The sequence below is a fragment of the Homo sapiens genome, chromosome 12, assembly GCF_000001405.40.
Source record: "Homo sapiens chromosome 12, GRCh38.p14 Primary Assembly".
In the NCBI taxonomy this organism is placed as follows: Eukaryota; Metazoa; Chordata; class Mammalia; order Primates; family Hominidae; genus Homo; species Homo sapiens.
The window spans coordinates 3,936,897-3,959,561 of NC_000012.12; the positions used below are offsets into that span (position 1 = coordinate 3,936,897).

The 22,665-nt window shown below is 41.6% G+C and overlaps 1 long non-coding RNA gene across 2 annotated transcripts in view, besides 1 other annotated feature; it reads right to left on the reverse strand.

The window, feature by feature from the left end:
• Positions 1-21,747, reverse strand: part of LOC105369608 (uncharacterized) — a 36,272-nt gene extending 14,525 nt beyond the window's left edge. The window contains exons 1-3 of one of the 2 annotated variants that reach the window (XR_001748965.2): positions 21,673-21,747; positions 19,836-19,920; positions 13,829-14,766 (exon numbers count right to left, since the gene is read on the reverse strand). This is a non-coding gene — a long non-coding RNA (uncharacterized LOC105369608). Of the gene's footprint in view, positions 1-13,828; positions 14,767-19,835; positions 19,921-21,672 lie in introns of those variants that run through there. The other variant, XR_931557.4, reaches the window with a different exon arrangement.
• Positions 7,927-8,440: an enhancer, noted in NCBI's record as "OCT4-NANOG-H3K27ac hESC enhancer chr12:4053989-4054502 (GRCh37/hg19 assembly coordinates)". NCBI's record gives its function as "activates a minimal SCP1, AML or CMV promoter by ChIP-STARR-seq in primed H9 embryonic stem cells {active_cell/tissue: H9 hESC(primed)}" and the evidence as "EXISTENCE:reporter gene assay evidence [ECO:0000049][PMID:30033119]".
• Positions 21,748-22,665: the final 918 nt, after the last annotated feature.

Here is a 22,665-nt window from a genome sequence, read left to right on the forward strand (position 1 = left end):
GGACTTTACTAAGATTAAAAAACTTCTGCTCTAAAAAGACACTTTTGAGAGAATCAAGACAAACCACAGAGTGGGAGAATATATCTTCAAAACACATAACTGATAAATGACTTGTATTCAAAATATGCAAAAAAAAAAAAAAAACCTCTTAAACGCAACAGTAAAAAAACCCAATTACTCAATTAAAAATAGACGGAAAATTTGAACAGATACCTCATCAAGGACGACATAGAGATGGCAAATAAGTATACGAAAAAATGCTCAACATCATTTGTCGCTAGAAAATTGCAAATGAAAGCAATAATGAGATATCACCACACACCGGCTTCAATCTGCAACATCCACAAATCTGACAATATAAATTGTTGATGAGGATGTGGAGTAACAGGAAGTTTCATTCATTGGTGGCGGAAATGCAAAGTGGTACAGGCACTTTTGAAGGCAGTTTAAGAAACTGCCAAACTGTCTTCAAAAGTGCCTGTACCATTTGTGCTGCTGGGTATTTATGCAACTGGATTTGAAATTTATGTCCACACAAAGTTGCACACAAATATTTACAACAGTTTGATTTATAACCACCAAAAACTGAAAGTACCAAGATGTCCTTTAATAAGTGAATGGATTAAACAAAATAGGCACATCCAAGCAGTGAAATACTCATCAGTGATTTAAAAAATGGAACAAAAAGTGGCAAAAATACATGGATGAAACTTAAATGCATATTGATAAATGAAAGAAGCCAGTCTTAAAAGGCAAAACTACAGCAATGGTTTTAAAAATCAGTGGCTGGCCGGGCACAGTGGCTCACATGTGTAATCCCAGCACTTTGGGACGCTGAGGCAGGTGGATCACAAGGTCAGGAGTTCGAGATCAGCCTGGGCAACATGGTGAAACCCCATCTCCACTAAAAATACAAAAATTAGCCGGGCATGGTGGCGGACGCCTGTAATCCCAGCTACCTGGGGGGCTGAGGCAGAGAATTGCCTGAACCCGGGAGGCAGAGGTTGCAATGAGCAGAGATTGTGGCACTGCACTCCAGCTTGGGCAACAGAGTAAAAAAAAAAAAAATCAGTGGCTGACAAGGGCTCATGAGACAAGAGGAAGGGTTGAATAGGTGAAGTACAAGAAATTTTTTAGTGAACCTATTCAGCATGATTCTGTAACGTTGGATACTATTTGTCAAAATTCAAAATTCATTGCACTTTTCAGCACAAAGAATGAATCTTAATGCATACAAATTTTAAAAAAATCATTTAAGAGGTTGAGAAACATCAGAATGGAATGATAAAGGTGATGAAGCAATCTAACTCTATCATAAATACATAAAACAACCTCACTGTGGGAGTTGGGAAAAGAGCTGACCTAAACAACTTTGGAAATGAATAGAATCTGTAAGACTACAGTCAAAAGAAATGATACATAAACACCGAACTCTCCCTGGTAGGTTGTTTCCCGTGGGGATATGAGTACACAGCCTGACACTACACTACCATACATGTATACTGGAAATGAACAATTAAGTAAATGGATGGTAGGTGGTGGTAGCCAGATTTTTACTACTGGACTAGGGAATTACAGGTTTGCTAGGGGAGGAGGCTAAAATTAACCATGTGGTAATGGTTTTGAATTGAAGACATTGGTATGAATTTACGTACATAGATGTTTACACATAGAAATACGTATAGACTTGTACACCCACAGGTTAGTGAACACACATACATTTCCTTGATATGCCAGCTGAAATGGCATAGAACCAATGGGTCTCCAATAGCAATGAGCACACCTAGCACCCAGATCTTGATTTCTAACACCATTCTTCAATTAAAAAACAAACAAACAAACAGACAAACAAAAACCCAGACTCCTTGAAGAAATATCTGATTCTAGGACTAGGTCAGAAAATTTACAAAATGAATCTGGAACATCTTGTATTGCCAGAAAGTAAGGAAGTACTGAAAAATTACAGTGAGTGAAGATTAAAGTTAGATAATATATGCAAAAGCAGCTTATAAAGCATTATCATTTATAAGAATTTGTGCTAGGACTCATAAATGGGTACTGCTGCAGCCTGGATTTGACTCTCGGTCAAGGAACCAGTTCTGTGGAGGCATAAATCCTTTAACACAGGAAAAAACAAACATCTATAAAAATTAGCTTGATACAACACAAGGAAATGATAAATGTTTGAGGTGATGAATATGCTAATTAACCTGATTTGATCATTACACATTTGTATACATATGTATCAAAATATCACTCTGTACCCCATAAATATGTACAATTATTATGTGTTAATTAAAAATAATAAAAGCCAAAAGGAGCTAAATCTGAAGAAGAAAACCGAGAACAAATGGGCCCTGAGTAAGCTTCATGAGTTTTAGTGCATGAGTAGTATGATGTTTATTTTGACTGCTCTGAAGCCTTCCTGTTCCTAGGCTGTTGAAGTTGTACAGTAAGTAATTCTGAGTAAGAGAAATGTCACTGTATTTAAAGAAGTACAAGTCCTCGTTTTCATGGGCAACTTACATACACAAATTATCCCAGTCCCAAGTGACACAGAGATGCATATCCACCCTCTTACATATGTATTTTTTAAATCTATCAAAGTTATGAAGCCTAGATTGTAAAAGTCCTAGAAGGCTACCTGGAAGTTTGAGGCAGTAAGAATCGTTGACAAATATCTAAGTGGAGCTTCTTACGTTCTAAACACCATGGCATTTTCTTTCTTGAAAAGGAAGTAAATTCACTGTCCTCAGTGTCCCCCCATCTAATCCATGTTCCACACTGAACTACATAAAAAAGTACAATCATTTTATTCTCCTGTCTAAAACTGTGTAATCCTTCTCCATGGCCAAAAGGAGTGCTTTTTTGACATTCCTTTGAAAGGAGTACAATGTTCCCAAATGAGCAACCCATTAAATAAAACAGCAACCCATTAAATAAAATAATAATAGCTCATAGCATGATCCACCAACCACTTGATGCAAGCAGGTGCCCCTGAGGCATCTCCAAAGGACCCCTGGGCCCCTACCCGGAACGGAGCTGGAGAAACCCTGGTCCAAGGGACATGATACAAACTCCTTAGCATGACACAAACAGCCCTTCACAATCTAAAATCTCCAGCCTCCTGTTGTGCTACGTCTTCCCATCCTTAGACCAATCTTTCGCATATGTGAACATCCCTGTACCTCAGTTTCCTCCTTTGTAAAATGGTGATAATAAAACTCACATGACCATTGTGATCATCAGTTGAGTTAATAAACTTAAAGCACTTAGCTTAGTGCCTGGTACTTAGCAAGTGCTCAGCAAATATTCTCTCTTTATGCTTTTACATTAGCCTTTGATATAGTACTTTGAGACAGTAGTTTTAGAACAAATAACGTTGTTTAGAGCATCTGTATTTTGCATATATGATTTCCTCTACCTAATAATCCTTGTCCCCACTCTTTCCTTCACTGCCTGTCAAACTCTTACTCATCCTTCAAAACCCATCTCAAATGTCTCCTTTGTGATGCTCTCCTAGTTTTCAAGGCCAAAGTCAATTTTTCATCTTTGTGCTTCCATAGCACCCAGCTCACACCTCCATTATGGCCTTGCCGCACAGTGCTGGAAGTCCCTCCAGCTCAGCAGTGCACTACTTATCTTCATAACCATGGGTTCTGACATCTAGCAGTCACACAAGGAATGTTTCTTGTATAGAAATGCAGCGATAAAAGGATAGAAACCAAAATGGTTGGTTGCAAACTGGAAAAGGATTTATTTTAGATTCTGTTGTAAAGAAATGCCCACAAAAGGACAAGAAGTGCTTAAGAATGACAAAGAAGGTGGCTTTGATCGGTGTCAACTGAGCCATGGAATTATGACTTAGTGGCAGCTCAGCAAGGACTCTGCCCCACAGGCTCTGAGGATTCACAGACAAGCCATCACATCCGTGGTTCCTTGGTTCTGCCAGCTTTCTTTCTGGGACACGGCTGTTAGCTTTATTATTATACTGGACACCCAATGCCCACAGTTCCCCTGCCCACCATTCTCAATATTGTCCTGACTCAGAACCTTCTCTGTTCCTTACCCATCAAAATTTACTTGTCGCGTATCCCATCTCCCCAGAGCCTTCAAAAGGTCCATCCAGAGAAAAGTTTAAAGGGAGTGGAGTATCAGACAGGCAGACAGGATCATGGGCAGCTATTTGCTGGCTGGAAGGCCTTTTGTACTCTTCCAACCAGTGAATGGGATTAGTCCATCCTGCAGGAAATCCTGTTTCAGGAAAATTGAGAACCACCACTCTAAAAGTGGTTTCTCTGTATCCCTACTTCTAAGCAAAGATGTAACTAATCATTCAGACAATCATCTTACTCTTAGTTGCTTTATCAACCTGGGCCAGGATCTGACCACCAATTCTGGTCAGAAATGTCTTGCTTACATGTCTGTTGAGGAAACCTCAAAACAATACTGGATTCTGGAGCAGCAGTGCTTTGGTGGTTAATAAGTTCATTCATATCCTTAAAGACTTCTCAGTCTTCTCTACTCTGAACTAAGTAATTTTGTTATCTTGCTCCTAAAATTTTATGATCTATTAATTTGATCATTTCTGAAGCTCTTTTCTGAATCTCCTGTAAGCTGTCATCCTTGAATATAGTTGCAAGAAACCCTGTCTCTACTAAAAAATACAAAAAATTAGCCGGGCATGGTGGCGGATGCCTGTAGTCCCAGCTACTTGGGAGGCTGAGGCAGGAGAATGGCATGAACCCAGGAGGCAGAGTCTGCAGTGAGCCGAGATCGCACCACTGCACTTCAGCCTGGGCAACAGAGTGAGACTCCATCTCAACAACAAAAAAAAGAGTGATCTGTATTATAGAATAAGAAAATTTGACAGCAGATCTCTAAGACCTCCTTTAAATTTTTTTAAGATGTAATTTCAGACATACAAAAAAGTTGCCAGGCCAGAGTTCTTCTGGCTGGGCATGGTGGTTCCTATAATCCCAGCACTTTGGGAGGCCGAGGTGAGAGGATGGCTTGAGCCCAGGAGTTCAAGACCAGCTTGGGCAAATGATGAAGCTCCATGTCTACAAAAAATACAAAAATTAGCTGGCTGTAGTGGTGCACACTTGCAGTCCCGCTGACTTGGGTGGTTGAGACAGGAGGATTGCTTGAGCCCAGGAGGTTGAGGCTGCAATGAGCTGTGATTGTGCCACTGCACTCCAGCCTGGGCAACAGAGCAAGACCCTGTCTCAAACAAACGAACAAACCCTAGTACAAAAAATTCATGGTTAACTTTTCATCCTCTTTGCTTTATCCTTTTCTTTCTCTCTGTGTGTGTGTATGAACTGTGTGAGAGCAAACTCCAAACATGACACTCCTTCAACCCTACACAGTTCAGAGTGTCCTTCCTTTCTTAAAAACAAGGCATTCTTGGCCAGGCGCAGTGGCTCACGCCTGTAATCCCAACATTTTGGGAGACCAAGGCAAGTGGATCACCTGAAGTCAGGAGTTCAAGACCAGCCTGGCCAACATGGCAAAATCCCGTCTCTACTAAAAATAAAAAAATTAGCTGGGCATGGTGGTGGGCGCCTATAATCCCAGCTACTCAGGAGGCTGAGGCAGGAGAATCACTTAAACCTGAGAGGTGGAGGTTGCAGTGAGCCAAGATTGTACCATTATACTCCAGCCTGGGCAACGAGAGCGAAACCGTGTCTCCAAAAAAAAGAAACAAAAAACAAACAAACAAAAAAAGGCATTCTTTAATATCACCATAATACAATTATAGAAATTAGGAAATTAGGCTGGGCACGGTGGCTCACACCTGTAATCCCAGCGCTTTGGGAGGCCAAGGCGGGCAGATCACGAGGTCAGGAGATCGAGACCATCCTGGCTAACACAGTGAAACCCCGTCTCTACTAAAAATACAAAAAATTAGCCAGGAGTGATGGCGGGCGCCTGTAGTCCCAGCTACTCAGGAGGCTGAGGCAGGAGAATGGTGTGAACCTGGGAGGCGGAGCTTGCAGTGAGCAGAGATCGCGTCACTGCACTCCAGCCTGGGCGACAGAGCGAGACTTCGTCTTAAGGAAAAAAAAAAATTAGGAAATGAGCATCAATAACAATACTACTGTCTTAACTACAGACTTTATAAAGATTTCACCAGTTGCCCCAATACTGTCCTTTACTGCAAAAGAAAATCCAGGTTCATATTACATTAATTTATCCTGTCTTTAATTTAGTCTCCTTTAATCTGGAACAGTTGCCCAGTCCAACTTTGTGTTTTATGCCATAGATATTTTTGGAATTCAACCCACTTCTTTTGTATAATGTCCTTTAAGTTGGCATTGTCTTATACTTCCTGGTGATTTTAGATTACACGTTTTTGTCAGGAACACCTCAAGAAATGATATGTTCTCCTTAGTGCTTCATATCAACAGTCAAGGAATATCTCATTATTGGTGATGGTAACTTTGATTGCTCAGTTGAGAAGTTGTCTGCCAGGTTTCCCCATTGTAAAGTGACATTTTCCCCCATTGTAAGCAAGTGACTTATGGGAAGACACTTTCAGATGATATAAAAGCATGCCTCAAAGTTTTATGATCTATTGATGTTTCCTGCCTAATCCAATTATTATTATGATGGTTGCCAAATGGTAATTTTCTAATTTCATCATTTCTTCTACATTTATTAGTTGACTTTCCATGGCAAAAAAAAGTGTTATTCCTTCTCCCTAAAGTATTTATCTATTTATATTAATGTGGAGTTATTAATGGGTTATATTCCTTTAGTATTTTTTTATTTTGATGCTCAGATTGTTCTACATTCTCTAAGATGTTTTTAAACTCTAATCTTGTATGAGAAAAGAAGGCTGAGCATTATCTGCTTGTAAGCGCACTAGATTATCTTTTGATGGTGATATTTAAATTATAAACCAAATGTTGAACCTAAAACATCACCAAGAAAACTTGATGATGCCTAAAACTCACCAAGGAAAGAGATGCTACGGTTGAGTATTCAATCTTTGGGGGAAAAAAGGATTACATGCTTTTAACCTAAGTGTTTGTGTAGGGTAGACAGAAAACAGCTATTTGAAGACGGGGACCCTGGAAGACAGCTAAGTCCATGAATTGTAGAAACCCCCCTGAAACGATGGGAGGTTTGAGCTTCCTCTGTTTTATTCAGATCTCAAGGTTATTTATTTAACCTTTTCCACAAGCTGAGTGTGATCAGCCATACAACTCTTCCACTCTCAAATTTATTCTGACTATATCCAGTTGGCTTTATTTTTCTTCCAGATCTGTGCCCCCCAACATACACACACACACCCTCCCCTAACTATAGTAGCAGGACATAGACCTACTGGCCAGCACCGTGATGCTGAGTGAATTATTTGGAAATAGTTTCTTCAAGCACGTAGAATGGCATTTGCAACTTCTGGGGCTGGTTCATGGGAAACAAACAAACAAAAAAGCCCACAAAACTCAACTGCGTAGAAGAACCCACATGTAATCTACAGAATTGCAAATTTTATGCCCCTTGTGTTGGGCAGTATCTGAGAGTCGTTCACCCTCCACCCTCACCTCAGTCCCAACCTTTAGATAAATCTACACATATGCTGGGTCAGGCTGACAAGAAACTGTTCTCTTCTTTAACTGGGCTCCTAGAGAAATAACAGGATGCCTGAAAAATAGCTTGGAAAAAGTTAATGCCCTTGCCAACTCTAGCCATCTAAATTGGTTTAACATCTTTGGGCTGAGGCAGAGGCCAACTGGGCATTGGTGCCTGGGATAACCTGCATTTTCTGCACTCTCCTCCTGACAGAATGAAGAGGTGGGGCACATGGTTGGGAGCGGCCTCATTCCCACTCAGTCACCCTTGGAAACTCAGCTTAATGACCTGGCATTACAAGAATCTGCCCAATGTGCTTTGAGGAGGCCATGGAAGCCTGCACTTTAGTGGTGGCATTTAGATGTTCCTCTGAAATGCTAATGAAGAGTTTATTTCAGAATTGCTTACAAAGTTCTCAGACTTGTTAATGTATCACCCCCTCTGAAAGCCAGAGACAATGGCACTGAACAAAGGGCTTGAAGTACCCTAAAAGGAATGATTGCCTTAGTTGAAAGACTTCCAGGGAAAGAGTTTCTAGTTCTCCTTGATGCACCATTCTATTCACTCAGTTCCCTGATAGCCAATACGCTGTTTGTTTCACCTAACCTACATCTCTCCAACTGATTTTAGCCTGATTTTCCCCTCATAGCCTTTCTCAAAATTAATATCCATATCCTCTCTCTCCCTTCATTTTATTCCTCTCTTCTTGGATTAAGGGGAAAAGGAGAGAAGGAAGTTAGGAGGGAAGGAGGACGTGGAAACTAACATTCCCTGAATGCTACCAGTGTCAGGTTCTTTACATGGTTATCTCCTGCAATTTTCACAACAAGTGAAGCAAAGCTAAAGAAACCAAGGCTCAGAGGAGATGAGTGATTTTCCAGAGCTCTTTAATTCAACCCCTTTTTCCCCGTACTGAGCTGCCTGTGACAAGTCAGAAAGACTGGTCTATGGTCATCGCCTGGCTACAGGTTTTAAAAATGACTTTCATCAAATCGTATAATTTTTCTGAACTTGTTTTCTCAACAATAAGATAGGGATTTGTGTGTGTGTGTGTATACACACATACACATACATATATATGCAGATAGATAATAGGCAGATAGAGATATATATATGTTCACATATGGAGACATATATCTCCATATTTGTGTCTGTATACTCGTGCACTCACAAATCCCTATTTTATTGTTAAGAAAAGAGGTTCAGAGAAATTACATATCTTGCTGAAAGTCATACAGAAAGTCCTTTCTGGAGAGATAAGGAAGTGCACATATATTAGAGAGAGAGAGAATAGATCTATTTCCTTTTTCCTCTGGGAAAGGATCTGCAGAGCTCCATCTCCTTTTTCCCCCACTCTGTAATCAACCCACTCCAGTTTGACTACCATTGCATCACTCCAGGAAACAGCGTTCACTGAAGTCATGAGTAACTTCCATGTCGCTAATTCCAAAGGATATTTACAGCCCTTATTTTACTTAAACTCTCGGGAGACTTTCCTTCTTGGAATGCTCTATTTCCATGACTCTCACTACCCAATGCCTCCTAGTTCTCTTCCAACCTTTTTGCCTGCTACTTCCCTCTCCCATTTACAGCCTCTTTTTCCTCTATCCATCAATTAAATATCAGACTCGGTTAAGAAATTATCTTCTCATTCTGGATTCTCATTGTAGGTAATCTAATCCTTACTTCTGTTTCTATCATTTAAAGACAGTTTGTAAATTTTTATCTTTAGTCAATACCTTTTCTCCTTTTGCCATACCTACATAATTAAATCCAACCTGACTCTTCCACTTACATGTTCAAGAGCACTTAGAACTTGAAATTTCCAAAACCTCAGGACTTTTCCTCCTAAAACGTAGTTATTTTCCAGTGTTTCCTATTTCAATCAACAGTGACATCATCCACCCAGTTTTACAAGCCAGATATCTAGATATCATTCTTGATTAACCATCTCTTTTCGCAGGATTGAATCTATCACCAAGTTCTAAGTATCCTCTTCATTTCTATCCTCACAACCCTTGTCCAGCTAACAGCATCTCTTACCTGGACCATGGCTGCTCTTCCAAATTCACCTTGTTCCCTTGTAATCTGTTCTCCACATTGTAGCCAGAGTGTTCTTTAGGAATCACAAATCTGATAATGTTATACTCCTACTCAAAATCTTTAGTAGCTGCCATGGTTTGGATATTCAAACACCCTTGAGTTTGAGTTTGTCTCCATCAACTATCATGTTGAAATTTGAGCCCCAGTGTGACAGTGTTGAGAGGTGGGGCTTAGTGGGAGGTGTTTGGGGCTATGGAGGTGCATCTTTCATAAATGGTTTGGTGCCATTCTCATGGTAGTGAGTAAATTCTCACTCTGGCAAGGCCGATTAGTTCCCAAGACAGCAGGTTGTTAAAACGAATCTATTTTCCTCGGTTTCACTCTCTTGCTTCCTCTCTCACCATGTGATTTCTTTGCTGGCTCCCCTTCTGCTGTCCACCATGAATTGAAAGAGCCTGAGGCCCTCACCAGATGCCTAATCTTGAACTTCCCATCCTGCAGAACCATGAGCCAAATAAATCTCTTTTCTTTATAAATTACCCTGTCTCGGGTATTCTGTGACAGCAACACAAAATGAACTAAGACAGTAGCTTTCCTTGCTCCCATCATAAAACTCAAAATCTTTAGCAGGTCCACAAGGCCTGTCAGGTTTTCCCTCCTGACTCCCCTAGCTCATCATGCCCCATGATTCTTCTCATCCTGTAGTTCCAGTTATTCTCACCTTCTTTTAGGTCTCTGAATATGCCGAGTCTCCACCCTTCCACGGGCCCTTTGTACATGTTATTCCTGTAGCCTAGAATACTCCTCTTCTTTCCCCCAGGAAACTTCTATCTTTTATTTTTTTTGGAGTTTATCTCAGCCATTACTTCCTCGGGAAAGCCTTCTGTGATTTCCTTGACCTAGCTCAATCTTCCTGTTATCTGCTCTCATACCATTAATTACCATAAAACATCTCTTAACCAATCTATACTTAAGCAGCTTCCCAGATTCATCAGCATTTTCCACCTCTCTGTGAGGCATACTGATTGATGTCCGCCTTATCTTGATTGCTGGTGGCTGGGAGGCCACTCTTTAATATGTCTGAATATTTCTGCTTCTTTCTTGTTCAGTTTTGGTTTATCAAGAGTCATTTGTATTTGTTTCCATCAACTTGAAAGTTGTACACATCTTTGTAACTTACATAATAGAATTAAATATTACGTAAGCCAATGAAATGTGAATGCAAATGGTATTCGTTTGTATGAGAACTAAATTGAATAATTTGGACAGACTCGACAAAGGTGAGGCATCAAAACTTGCTACTTATTTAGGAATGGGTAAGACAATTGCGAAAGACTGTGCAGTGGATTATAAAACTAAAGAAGAATTCTGCAGTCAGATTACTTTTCAAGTGTGTCTTCAACTTCTCTCTCCACTTTAAAGAAATGAAAACAGGAAATCATAGATGATGCGTTAAGGGTGTGGTTTAAACAAGAAAGATGACAAAGAAAAAGGCATTGGCTCTGCATCAAAAGATTCATGTAGATATGTAGATATAAATACATACATATACATCGTTTGTGTTAAAATAAATATTTAGGGTAAATAGATATATTTTTTCTTTTTGAGACACAGTTTCACTCTGTCGTCCAAGCTGGAGAGCAATGGCACAAACTTAGTTCACTTCAACTTCTGCCTCCCAGGTTCAAGTGATTCTCGTGCTTCAGTCTCCTTGAGTAGCTGGGACTACAGGCGCCTGCCACCACACCCAGCTAATTTTTGTATTAGTAGAGACAGTGTTTTGTCACATTGGCCAGGGTGGTCTCGAACTCCTGACCTCAACTGATCCGCCTGCCTTGGCCTCCCAAAGTGCTAGGATTACAGGCATGAGCCACTGGATATGTATCTTTTTTAATAATTCCTTTCCAAGTAGATCAAAACCTCCTTGAAAGTAATAACCCTGTTTCCATTAGGACTGGCCACAGAATTTGTTGAGCCCAGTGCAAAATGGAAGTGTGGGGCTCCTTGTTCAAAACATATTAAGAATTTCATGATAGTGACAGCAGCGCGTGAAGCTAAGTGAGGGGACTGAGTTTGAGGCCCTGTGAGACTGCACAGGTTGCATCTCTGATTCCCATCTTTTAGCACAGAACTTGACATACAATAGGTAATTCCTTCACTCGACAGGTATTTTGCATGCAGTATGCTAGGCTCTGCTCTAGACTCTGGAAATACAGTATGGAACAAAAAAGAGAAAAAGTCCTTGCCTTCACGGAGCTACATTTCTTTCTTTCCTTCCTTCCTTCCTTCCTTCCTTCCTTCCTTCCTTCCTTCCTTCCTTCCTTCCCTCCCTCCCTCCCTCCCTCCCTCCTTCCTTCCTTCCTTCCTTCCTTCCTTTTGAGACAGAGCCTCGCTCTGTCACCCAGGCTGGAGTGCAGTGGAGTCCTTACCTTCACGGAGCTAAATTAATTTCTTTCTTTCTTTCTTTCTTTTGAGACAGAGCCTCACTCTGTTACCCAGGCTGTAGTGCAGTGGTGCAATCTCAGCTCACTGCAACCTCTGCCTCCCGGGTTCAAGCGATTTCCCTGCCTCAGCCTCCTGAGTAGCTGGGACTACAGGCGCCCACCACCATGCCTGGCTAAATTTTGTATTTTTAGTAGAGACGGGGTTTCACCATGTTGCCAGGCTAGTCTCAATCTCCTGACCCTGTGATCCACCCACCTCGGCCTCCCAAAGTGCTGGGATTACAGGTGTGAGCCACCGCACCCAGCATCCCTGGAGCTTAATTTCTATTGACAGTGGTAGGAAGTGAGAGGGTATACAATAAATAATAAATAAGAGATATAACTTAGATGGTATTGAGGGATGTGGAGATAAATAAAACCGAGAAGAATAGAGAATGAGGGAATCAGTATGAAACCAACCTAGCAGCCCCACAGACAGTTCTTTTGGATAAACATAAAAATGGACCCTTCTGATCTTAAAGCTTGAAACTTGCATTTGTTTTATCTGAGTTCCTTCCTCAGGAAAGGACCCCCAGGCCTCTCAAAGTATCAAAGAACTAAAACTCACCAGATCAAAGAACTACATCAAGACAATGACACCAGGTCCCCCATTTTGTTTCCTTACCCCTTCCTAATTCTTGTTTTCTGACACATTGTTACATTTCTTCCCTGCTATAAAAACCCCTAATTTTAATTGGTCAGAGAGATGGATTTGAGACTGAGCTCCCATCTCCTTGGCTGCAGCACCCGACAAAAGCCTTCTTCCTTGGCAATAATCGTCTCAGTTATTGGCTTTCTGTGCAGTAAGCAGCAGGACCTAGACCAAACCCCTGGTGTTTCGGTAACAAATAAATATTTGTTAAATGAATGCAATTAATTTCTTATTAAACTCAGAATAGAATGGCAATGTATACTTTGAAACAAATGAAAAACAGACCCAGGGAAAAATCAACACAAGGAACAAATAGAATAAGTGATGTTTGTGCTACAAATTTGGTTCTGAGCTTCCTGGTAACCAAAGTAATAAGAAATGACCAATTACATAATTCTTATCATCAGAAAGAAGGAAGCATACCTATGTCCTAGGGCTAGAAAGAGAGATACAGTATACCTTTAACTTCCTTACAGAACCAGACGACATTGCAGCTGTGAAAATAACTTAAATAAACATAAGGTACTATGATATACAGGGAGGTATTCATAAAGAATTCTTCCACAAGATAAAAGAGAAATTTTTCATTGTAACAGCTTTGTTTTTCCTGGAAGAGTGCTAAGAAATTCATCTTTGTAGGCAAAGAAACTTTCAAATAGGCTAACATCTTAAAGTTGAAATCTAACAATCACTTCAGCCCACAAACATTTCAGCCAGTCTGTACAAGTCCCACCAATTTCCCTTCCTGACCCTTGGTAGAGTAAGAAAAGTGCCCAGTGCCAGGCGGGCAGTGATATCAGCCTCCCTCCACCATCCCAGCTCTGCACCCATTGAAACTAAAGCTGCCATCGCCTTTTCCTTCCACTCCTCCCTCATAACCCTAAGGCCCCAAATAGGAGCAGACCCAGGAAACCAGGTAGATCCATTCTCAGAGACACGGACATGTCTTGTCCACACGCAGACTGAAAGCCCAGAAACTGCCGGCTAAGAGCAGTGGAAAATGGCCCCACTCATTCCTCTCCTTCCTGCCATTCTCCCTGTCTCTTCCTCTCTTTATCTTTAATCTCTCTTGCCCTACATCGCTTGGTCTTTCTCTCTGCTTTCTCTTCTCCTCACGACCACCACCACCATTTACTTAGGGGATGTTCTACATATTGTTAGTTCACAGAGACAGTTGAACAGGAGAGACAACTGAACAGAGGACAGCACATGAACATAGACCAGGCACTGTCTCTGTGCCTGTTATCCTGTGTCTGCATGCCATTCTCCCACACACTGACACACCAAATAAAGATCTGTGTCTATTTCAGAAAGACAGAGATTGATGGGAAACAAATGAATAAAAAGTGCCAGCTGCATTGACTAACATTATCTTTTATCTAGATAGGAAAAAAACAAAACAAAACAAAACAAACCACAAAACACCTCTTTAGATCAGAAATGTCCCAGGACCTTCAAAGCGGCCTAGAGAAGTTGCTTTTGTGAGTATCTTAAGCACGATTTTAAACGAGCCTACAAATTCCCTCAGCCACCTGTTTGAGGCTGTTCTGACACCAAACATCAACTCATGGAGACCAGCTACTGCCAAAAAGAGAAAAATCTAAGTGTTTCTAACAAGGATGTCGCGAGACTATTGAATCTGGTTCCATGTGAATTTCCCTGTAAAATGTGAAAGAAAAGGCATTCTCAACCAGCCACTGTTTCTGGCACTAACAATTGACACAGCCCGCTCATGGGTATCCCCTAGGGTGTGAAAGAGACCCCGTTAATGAGAGAGGAGCTTGCTGCGGGATTTCTATTTCAGGCCTTGTGCTAGTAAATATAACTCTGTTTACACAGACTTGAGTCTGGAACGTGCTTGAGCTGCACAATGGCTGTTTGAATCACACCTTAACGTGGTCTTTGAAACTCTGAGCTGTGGTACGTGTGGTTGTGTCATTTTCTTTCTTTCTTCTCCGCCATGGTGTAATTGGAAACTCTTCTTCCGTGACTTGCATCGTATCCCTGTAAACCAGGCAAGGATTTGGGGACCAAGCCCATTCACGCCCGCACCTCAGGTGATCTCGTGCCTGAGAATTCACAAAGAATGCCCTCCCCTCTCTTCACTGCATCCTGTCTCTAGAGCCCGCGTCACTGCATCTTCCCACCTCCCTGGACACGGCCTTAACCTCATTTTTTTCTCTGGGGCACCGCTGCAGTTCGGGCAGGCTCTTGGACTCCGCAGGAGCCCACACCGCATTGATGCCCTGTTCCCTGGGGCGCACTGCTTGCGGGTGCCCATCAGGACCAGCCCCCGTGGTCTACCGTGGCACACTAATGCATCTGTGAAGCTATGTGGTTTGTTCCCACCCTGGAGTGTCTCTACTGAGCCATTTCTGTTTTTACTAGTTTCTCTGCCTCATTTATCTCCAAATCTTGTCCATTTTACCCTGAATCTCTTTTCTTTCTCTATTTCTGTTGCCAAAGCCTTAGGCTACGTCCTCATTATTGTCTTAATTATTACAATAGCCTACTAATTTTCTCTGCCAACGGGCTCCCTTTTCTAATCCATCCTCAACCTCGCCGGCATAGTTATCATTCTTCTTTTCTAATATAATATTTAGGATCATAACTTTTTCTTTAAGTCAAGGTTTCTTAACCTACGCACCGTCACCATTTGGGGCCAGATAATTCTTTTTTTTTTTTTTTTTTTTTTTTTTTGAGACGGAGTCTGGCTCTGTCGCCCAGGCTGGAGTGCAGGGGCGCCATCTCGGCTCACTGCAAGCTCCGCCTCCCGGGTTCACACCATTCTCCTGCCTCAGCCTCCCGAGTAGCTGGGACTACAGGCGCCCGCCCCCACGCCTGGCTAATTTTTTTGTATTTTTAGTAGACACGGGGTTTCACCGTGTTAGCTGGGATGGTCTCGATCTCCTGACCTCGTGATCCGCCCATCTCGGCCTCCCAAAGTGCTGGGATTACAGGCGTGAGCCACCGCGCCCGGCCGATAATTCTTTATTGTAGGGGGCTGTCCTATGCACTGTAGGGATGGCAGCATTTCTGGCCTTTACCTGCTAGATGGTAGTAACAGCTGCCCGTAGTTGTGACAACCAAAAATGCCCCTAGACCTGCCAAATGTCCCCTGAGCAGCAAAAGTCCCCCTATTCAGAACCACTGTTCTCTGTACCTTATATTCCTCCAGTTTTATGTAGGATTTTAAATTTTGTTCTGTCTGAATATTTATTTATTGCTATTATACTTTTTTTTGTGATCCACGAGTTAATTAGAAATGTTTTAAATTCTAAACATTTGGTGTTGTTTTCTTTTAAAGTCACTTTTTTGGTTGTTGTTCATGTCTATCTTAATTAGATTTTGATCAGAGAAGGTGAACTATATGGTATTTATTTTTTGGTGTTTGTTAAGACTTGCTTTGTGGTTTAGTAACTTGTTAATTTTTCAAATATTTCTTGTGCATTTGAGAAAAATGTACAGTCTTCAATTGTTGAATACAAGATTGATCAATCTTGTTCATTGTGTCATTCAAATCTTGTAAATTCATGCCAATTTTTATGCGATTTGAACATACCAGAAAGGTGTGTTTTTAAATCTCCTATAAAGATTCAAAATTTTCTCCTTGTAATTCATTCAAATTTTGTCTTATACATTTTTAAAGTCTATAATAGATAAATACAATTTGCATTTGTTATATCTTTCTTATAAATTGATCCTTTCATCATTATATAATGATCACTTTTTGCCTCAGACTTTTTTTCTGCTACAGTTATTATAGCTACACTTTGTTTTGACTCTTACTTGCCTGGTATATCTCTTTTTATCCTTTTGCTTTCAGCCTTTTTGTTGTGTCCTTTTGTCTTAGGTATGTATTTTTAAAACAGCATAAGCAAGTTTTCTTTTTATTAAAAAAAATTGAACCTGGCAATCATTTTTTAACTAGTGAGTCTAATTCACTTACATTTATTGTTTCCTAATATATTTGGATTTATTTCCACCATTTCTTTTTGTAGTTTCTATTTACTATGCTTTCTAATGCCTTTTCTTCCTCCTTTCCTGCCTTCTTTCGGTTTCATCAAGTTTTCTTTATTTTCCCCTTTTCCCTCTATTAATTTGGAAATTACACACTCTATTTCCAGTGTTTTAGTGGTGAGCCCTAAACTTTTGTCAAGCACATTTGACCTAAAGTCTAAAGTTAATGTTACTGCTCTCTTCACAAATAATAGACGGAATTTAGACATTGTAACCCATCACATGTGTTATCGCCATGCAGCGTTTTAGATCGTTCCACCTTATTTTTGTTTGGTTTGTTTTTCTTTTTCTTTTTTTTTTTTTTGAGACAGAGCCTGGCTCTGTTGCCAGGCTGGAGTGCAGTGGCACAATCTCGGCTCACTGTACCGCTGTCTCCCGGGTTCAAGCCATTCTCCTGCCTCAGCCTCCCAAGTAGCTAGGATTACAGGCACGTGCCACCACACTCAGCTAATTTTTGTATTTTTTTTTTTTTTTTTTAGTAGAGATTGGGTTTCACCATGTTGGCCAGGATGATCTCAATCTCCTGACCTCATGATCCACCCTCCTCAGCCTCCCAAAGTGCTGGGTTACAGGCGTGAGCCACTGTGCCTGGCCCACCTTATATTTACACCCCCCAATTTTGTTATTATTGTCATTATAGTTGTTTGGGGGTGTTTTGTTTTGTTTTCTCTTTTTGAGACAGGATCTTGCTTTGTCACCCAGGTTGGAGTGCAGTGGCATGATCATGGCTCACTGCAGTCTCGACCTCCTGGACTCAGCTGATCCTCCCACCTCAGACTCTCAAGAAACTGGGACTACAGGCGTACATCACTGTGCCCAGCTAATTTTACTTTTAGTAGAGACGAGGTCTTGCTATGGTGCCCAGGCTGGTCTTAAACTCCTGGGCTCAAGAGCTCTGCCTTCCTTGGCCTCCCAAAGTGCTGGGATTACAGGTGTGAGCCACCATGCCCGGCTTATGGTGATTTTGAGCAGTGGATGAATTTCTGACTTTGCCTACTTGTTTATCAGCTTCCTTGATTGTTCTTCCTTTTTGCCTTCACCTCCCTTGGGGTTCAATTTTTTCTATCCTGAAGTCCATAGTCTAGAATATTTTTCCCACAAGGGTCCTTGAATGGTAAATTCTCCTGGTCATTGTGTAAAAATATCTTTATTTCCCCTCATTTTAAAATGACAGTTAAAAGAGGTAAAAATGAAGGCAGACAGTTATTTTCTCTCAACGCTTTAAAAATATCATTCCATGGGCTTCTGGCTTCCATCATTGCTTTTGAAAAGTCAGTTAGTTGCTTTACAGGCAATCCACACATCTCTCTAGTTGTTTTAAAAATATCTTTATTTTGCGTTTTTAAGAGTTTCTCTGTGATGTGACCTGGTACTGATTTCATTCATTGATTTTTCTCAGGACTCATTTCCTGCCCTGAAGATTCATTTCTTTCATAGATTCTGGAAAATTCTTAGCCATTTTCTCTTTGATTAGTTCCTCTCCTCATTCTCTTAATGTTCTCCTCCTGAAATTTCTATTAGTAATACATTTACCTTCATTCTGTCCTTCACGTCTCTTAATCTTGCTTTTGTCTTTTCTGTCTCTTTTTGTCTCCGTGTTGTATTTTGGGCAGTTTTCTCAAATCTTCCAGCTCTTATATTCTCACTACAGTTATATGTAAGCCTCATCAATTACCACACTTTTCTTCTAAGTTCTATTTGTTTTTCAAATCTGTCTGGGTTTCATTCATAGTGTCTTACGGTTTTTATTTTTTCCATTTTTTCTTTATATATCTTTAACTTTAAAAAAAAATACTAAGCTATTGTCTCTCTTCAATAGCTCTATTTTCTGATTCTTAGTAGTCTACACCTGTTGCCTGTTGTACCTGCTGACGTTTGCTGACAGCAGGTTATGAGACTATTCTGTGAGACTACTATTTTTTTTTTTTTTTGAGGCAGTGTCTTACTCTGTCACCTAGGCTCAAGCCCCCAGGCTCAGGTGATCCTCTTGCCTCGGCCTCCCAAGCAGCTGTCACTACAGGTGCACACCACCACATCCAGCTAATTGTTTGTATTTTTTGTAGAGACAGGTTCTCACCTTGTTGCCAAGGCTAGTTTCGAACTCCTGAGCTCAAGGGATCTGCCTGCTTTGGCCTCTGAAAGTGCTGGAATTACAGGCGCCAGCCACCATGCCCGGCTGAGACTACTCTTGTAGAACTCACAATTCTATAATTGTAAGACTCAATTCTGACTATAACTTCAGAATTGAAAATTCACCACTTTGGCAGTGAGAATTCTGAGAGAAATGCATTAAGCTTGAGTCCTACCAGGTCCATTTTGTGGATGATTCTTATTGGGGCCCCAGTAGTATCATCCACCAAAGAGGACTTCTCATTATTTTGTTGACTTAGGGACTCCCAGACCATTCAAGTAAGGTAAATGCAAACCTCTGACTCTCAGGAAGCTGGTCACATGGTTATGAAATTTCAGGAACATTTTTTTCCCTTCTACTCATAGCTCAGTCTCAACAGTCAAAAGCTTCTTCTCTGTAGGTGAGTAGAGTGTTTCCTTCCTTACAAATCTTTCCTGGTTTTACGTGAAGGCCTAATTTCAACTCTCCACCCAGCACAGGCACAGGCCCCATAGTCAATATTCCTGCGGATCTGAAAAACCCATTCTACACATTTTTTTTTTTTTTTTTTTTTGAGACAGAGTCTCGCACTGTCACCCAGGCTGGAGTGCAGTGGCGCGATCTCGGCTCACTGCAAGCTCCACCTCCCGGATTCACGCCATTCTCCTGCCTCAGCCTCCTGAGTAGCTGGGACTACAGGCACCTGCAACCACGACCGGCTAATTTTTTTGTATTTTTAGTAGAGACGGGGTTTCACCGTGTTAGCCAGGATGGTCTCGATCTCCTGACCTCGTGATCCGCCCGCCTTGGCCTCCCAAAGTGCTGAGATTACAGGTGTAAGCCACTGCACCCGGCCCCATTCTACACGTTTTAAATGTACAATTAGAAATGCCTAAAAACCTAATCCCCCCAGTACTTGTCCCAACACCCTGAGTTGCCTCACCTCATTCCATTCACTGACGGCACTTGTTTTCAGTTCTTGCTTGTTTTCCCTCCAGGAGGTCTTCCTTATTTTCTTGTGAGTTCAGCTTTGCATTTAGAAAAATGTACATTATCATTTGTTCAGCATTTGTAGGAGAGTTGTTAGGTCATCTAAGCTGCCATATTGTAGGAAATGGAGACCTAACCCCCTGACGTAAGTGGTCAAAAATCCTAATTTGATGACCCCCTATTACCTGGGCATTACAACTAAGCTCTTCAGCATTGCCTTTAGAAAACAGTCAGGTGTGGTGGCTCACGCCCGTAATCCCAGCACTTTGGGAGGCCAAGGTGGGCGGATCACCTGTGGTCGGGAGTTCGAGACCAGCCTGACCAACATGAAGAAACCCCATCTCTACCAAAAATACAAAAATTAGCGAGGCGTGGTGGTGCATGCCTGTAATTCCAGCTACTCAGGAGGCTGAGGCAGGAGAATCACTTGAACCCGGGAGGCAGAGGTTGCGGTAAGCCGAGATCGCGCCATTACCCTCCATCCTGGGCAACAAGAGCGAAACTCCATCTCCAAAAAGAAAAAAGAAAACAGTCTGGTTCATACCTGTGTTTCCAGTTCCATTTCCATCTCTCTCTTCTGCACATGCTACGTTCTAGTCACACAGACAACTCATGGTTCTACAAATTTTCATACATCTACAACTGTCAAACTTAGGCTATGCCATGCCCTTCTCCCAAAGGGTCTTTGTTTTCCCTTTCACAAACTTTTATTCTCTGGCCAAAGCAAACCTCAAATATTAACTCGTCTGTAAAACCCACTCCAACTTCCCAAAATACAATCAATCAAGTTCTCTCCTATGCTGCCATTGCATTTGAATATTCCTTGTTTGTGATCGTTATTACATTGCACGGTCTCTGTTTTTATGTTTCGACTAGATTCAGATCTTCTAGAGGCCAACACAGGGTTTTATGTACCATCCCCAACCCTTAGCACAATCCCTGGCACATAGTGGTTACTCATTAATGCTATAGCAAACTTCTTGGATTGCGAGACTACTTGATTCTTGCCAAGAGAAGTATAGTTTGAAATTATGACCTCTGTGGGTGTCGTAAGCAGTCTTATTGTTAAAAATCTCCACGTAGCCACTAATTGTCAGAGGTGCTAGGTGAGCCACAATACGTGGAAAAGAGATTTAAAACAGTCCATCTACAACTTATTTATTGATTGATTTTGAGACAGAGTCTTGCTCTGTTGCCCACCCAGGCTGGAGTGCAGAGGTGCGATCTTGGCTCATTGCAGCCCCCGCCTCCTGTGTTCAAGTGATTCTCGTGCCTCAACCTCACGAGTAGCTGGGATTACAGGGATAGGCCATGAAGCCAAGCTAATTTCTATATTTTTAGTAGAGATGGGGTTTCACCATGTCGGCCAGGCTGGTCTCCACTCCTGACCTCAAGTGATCCACCTGCCTTGGCCTCCCAAAGTGCTGGGATTACAGGCATGAGCCACCATGCCCAGCCCATCTACAATTTTGATTACATGTCAGTCCTGATTCATGACTAAGTTCTGCTGCTATATCTAACTGAGTAGATTTTTGTAATCTAAGGCAGACAGCACCACCAAAACACCACCAGGCTGCCTTACTCGTTGTTGTAACCCGTGGCATAGTGACTGGCATGGACACAAGTGTGAACTTGACTCCACCTCTGGACACAGGGCTGGGCTCTCTCTCACTCACCCTTGTATGTACCTGGCACATTGAACACACTCACTGAGTGTATTAGTCCGTTTTCACGCTACTGATAAAGACATACCTGAGACCGGGAAGAAAAAGAGGTTTAGTTGGACTTACAGTTCCACATGGGTGGGAAGGCCTCAGAATGATAGTGGGAGGCAAAAGGCACTTCTTACATGGCAGCGGAAAGAGAAAAATGAGGAAGAAGCAAAAGCAGAAACCCTTGCTTTCAGATCTCGTGAGACTTATTAACTATAACGAGAATAGCACAGGAAAGACCGGCCCCCGTGATTCCATTACCTCCCCCTGGGTCCCTCCCACAACACATGGGAATTCTGGGAGATCAATTCAAGTTGAGATTTGGATTGGGACACAGCCAAACCATATCAGCAAGTGTTGGCTAAACAAATGAATGAATGATTGAATAAACTTAACTAGGTAGAAACTGAATGCATGAGAAAATTCCAGATCTATAGTTATGAAGAGAGGGAACCAAAAGGCTATCATTTTGGATAAAGAGGAAAAAAATTAATTTTCATAACTTGTTTTGGGTTTTGCTTCATCATGCATGCTAGTCTTATTTGTTTGCTCCATCCATCCATCCGTCCGTCCATCCATCCATCCATTTACTCATCCACTTAGCATTCATCCACTCAAGAAACATTTTCCAAGCACCTAATGTGAGCCAAGCACTCTGCTTTGGGTTTGGAGACTTTAGGTTGGTGTTAAGAAAAACTTCCTGGCCACGTGCGGTGGCTCGCGCCTGTAATCCCAGCACTTTGAGAGGCTGAGGCGGGTGAATTACGAGGTCAGGAGTTCAAGACCGGCCTGGCCAACATGGGGAAACCCTGTCTCTACTAAAAATACAAAAATTAGCCGGCCATGGTGGCATGCGCCTGTAATCCCAGCTATTCAGAAGGCTGAGGCAAGAGAATCGCTTGAACCCGGGAGGTGGAGGTTGTAGTGAGCGGAGATCGCACCATTGCACTCCAGCCTGGGTGACAAGAGCGAAACTCCGTCTCAAAAAAAAAAAAAAAAAAGAAAAGAAAAACTTCCTAATTCTCTATCTGTAAAAATGTTATCATTGGCGTGCTGGAAACTGATTATTTC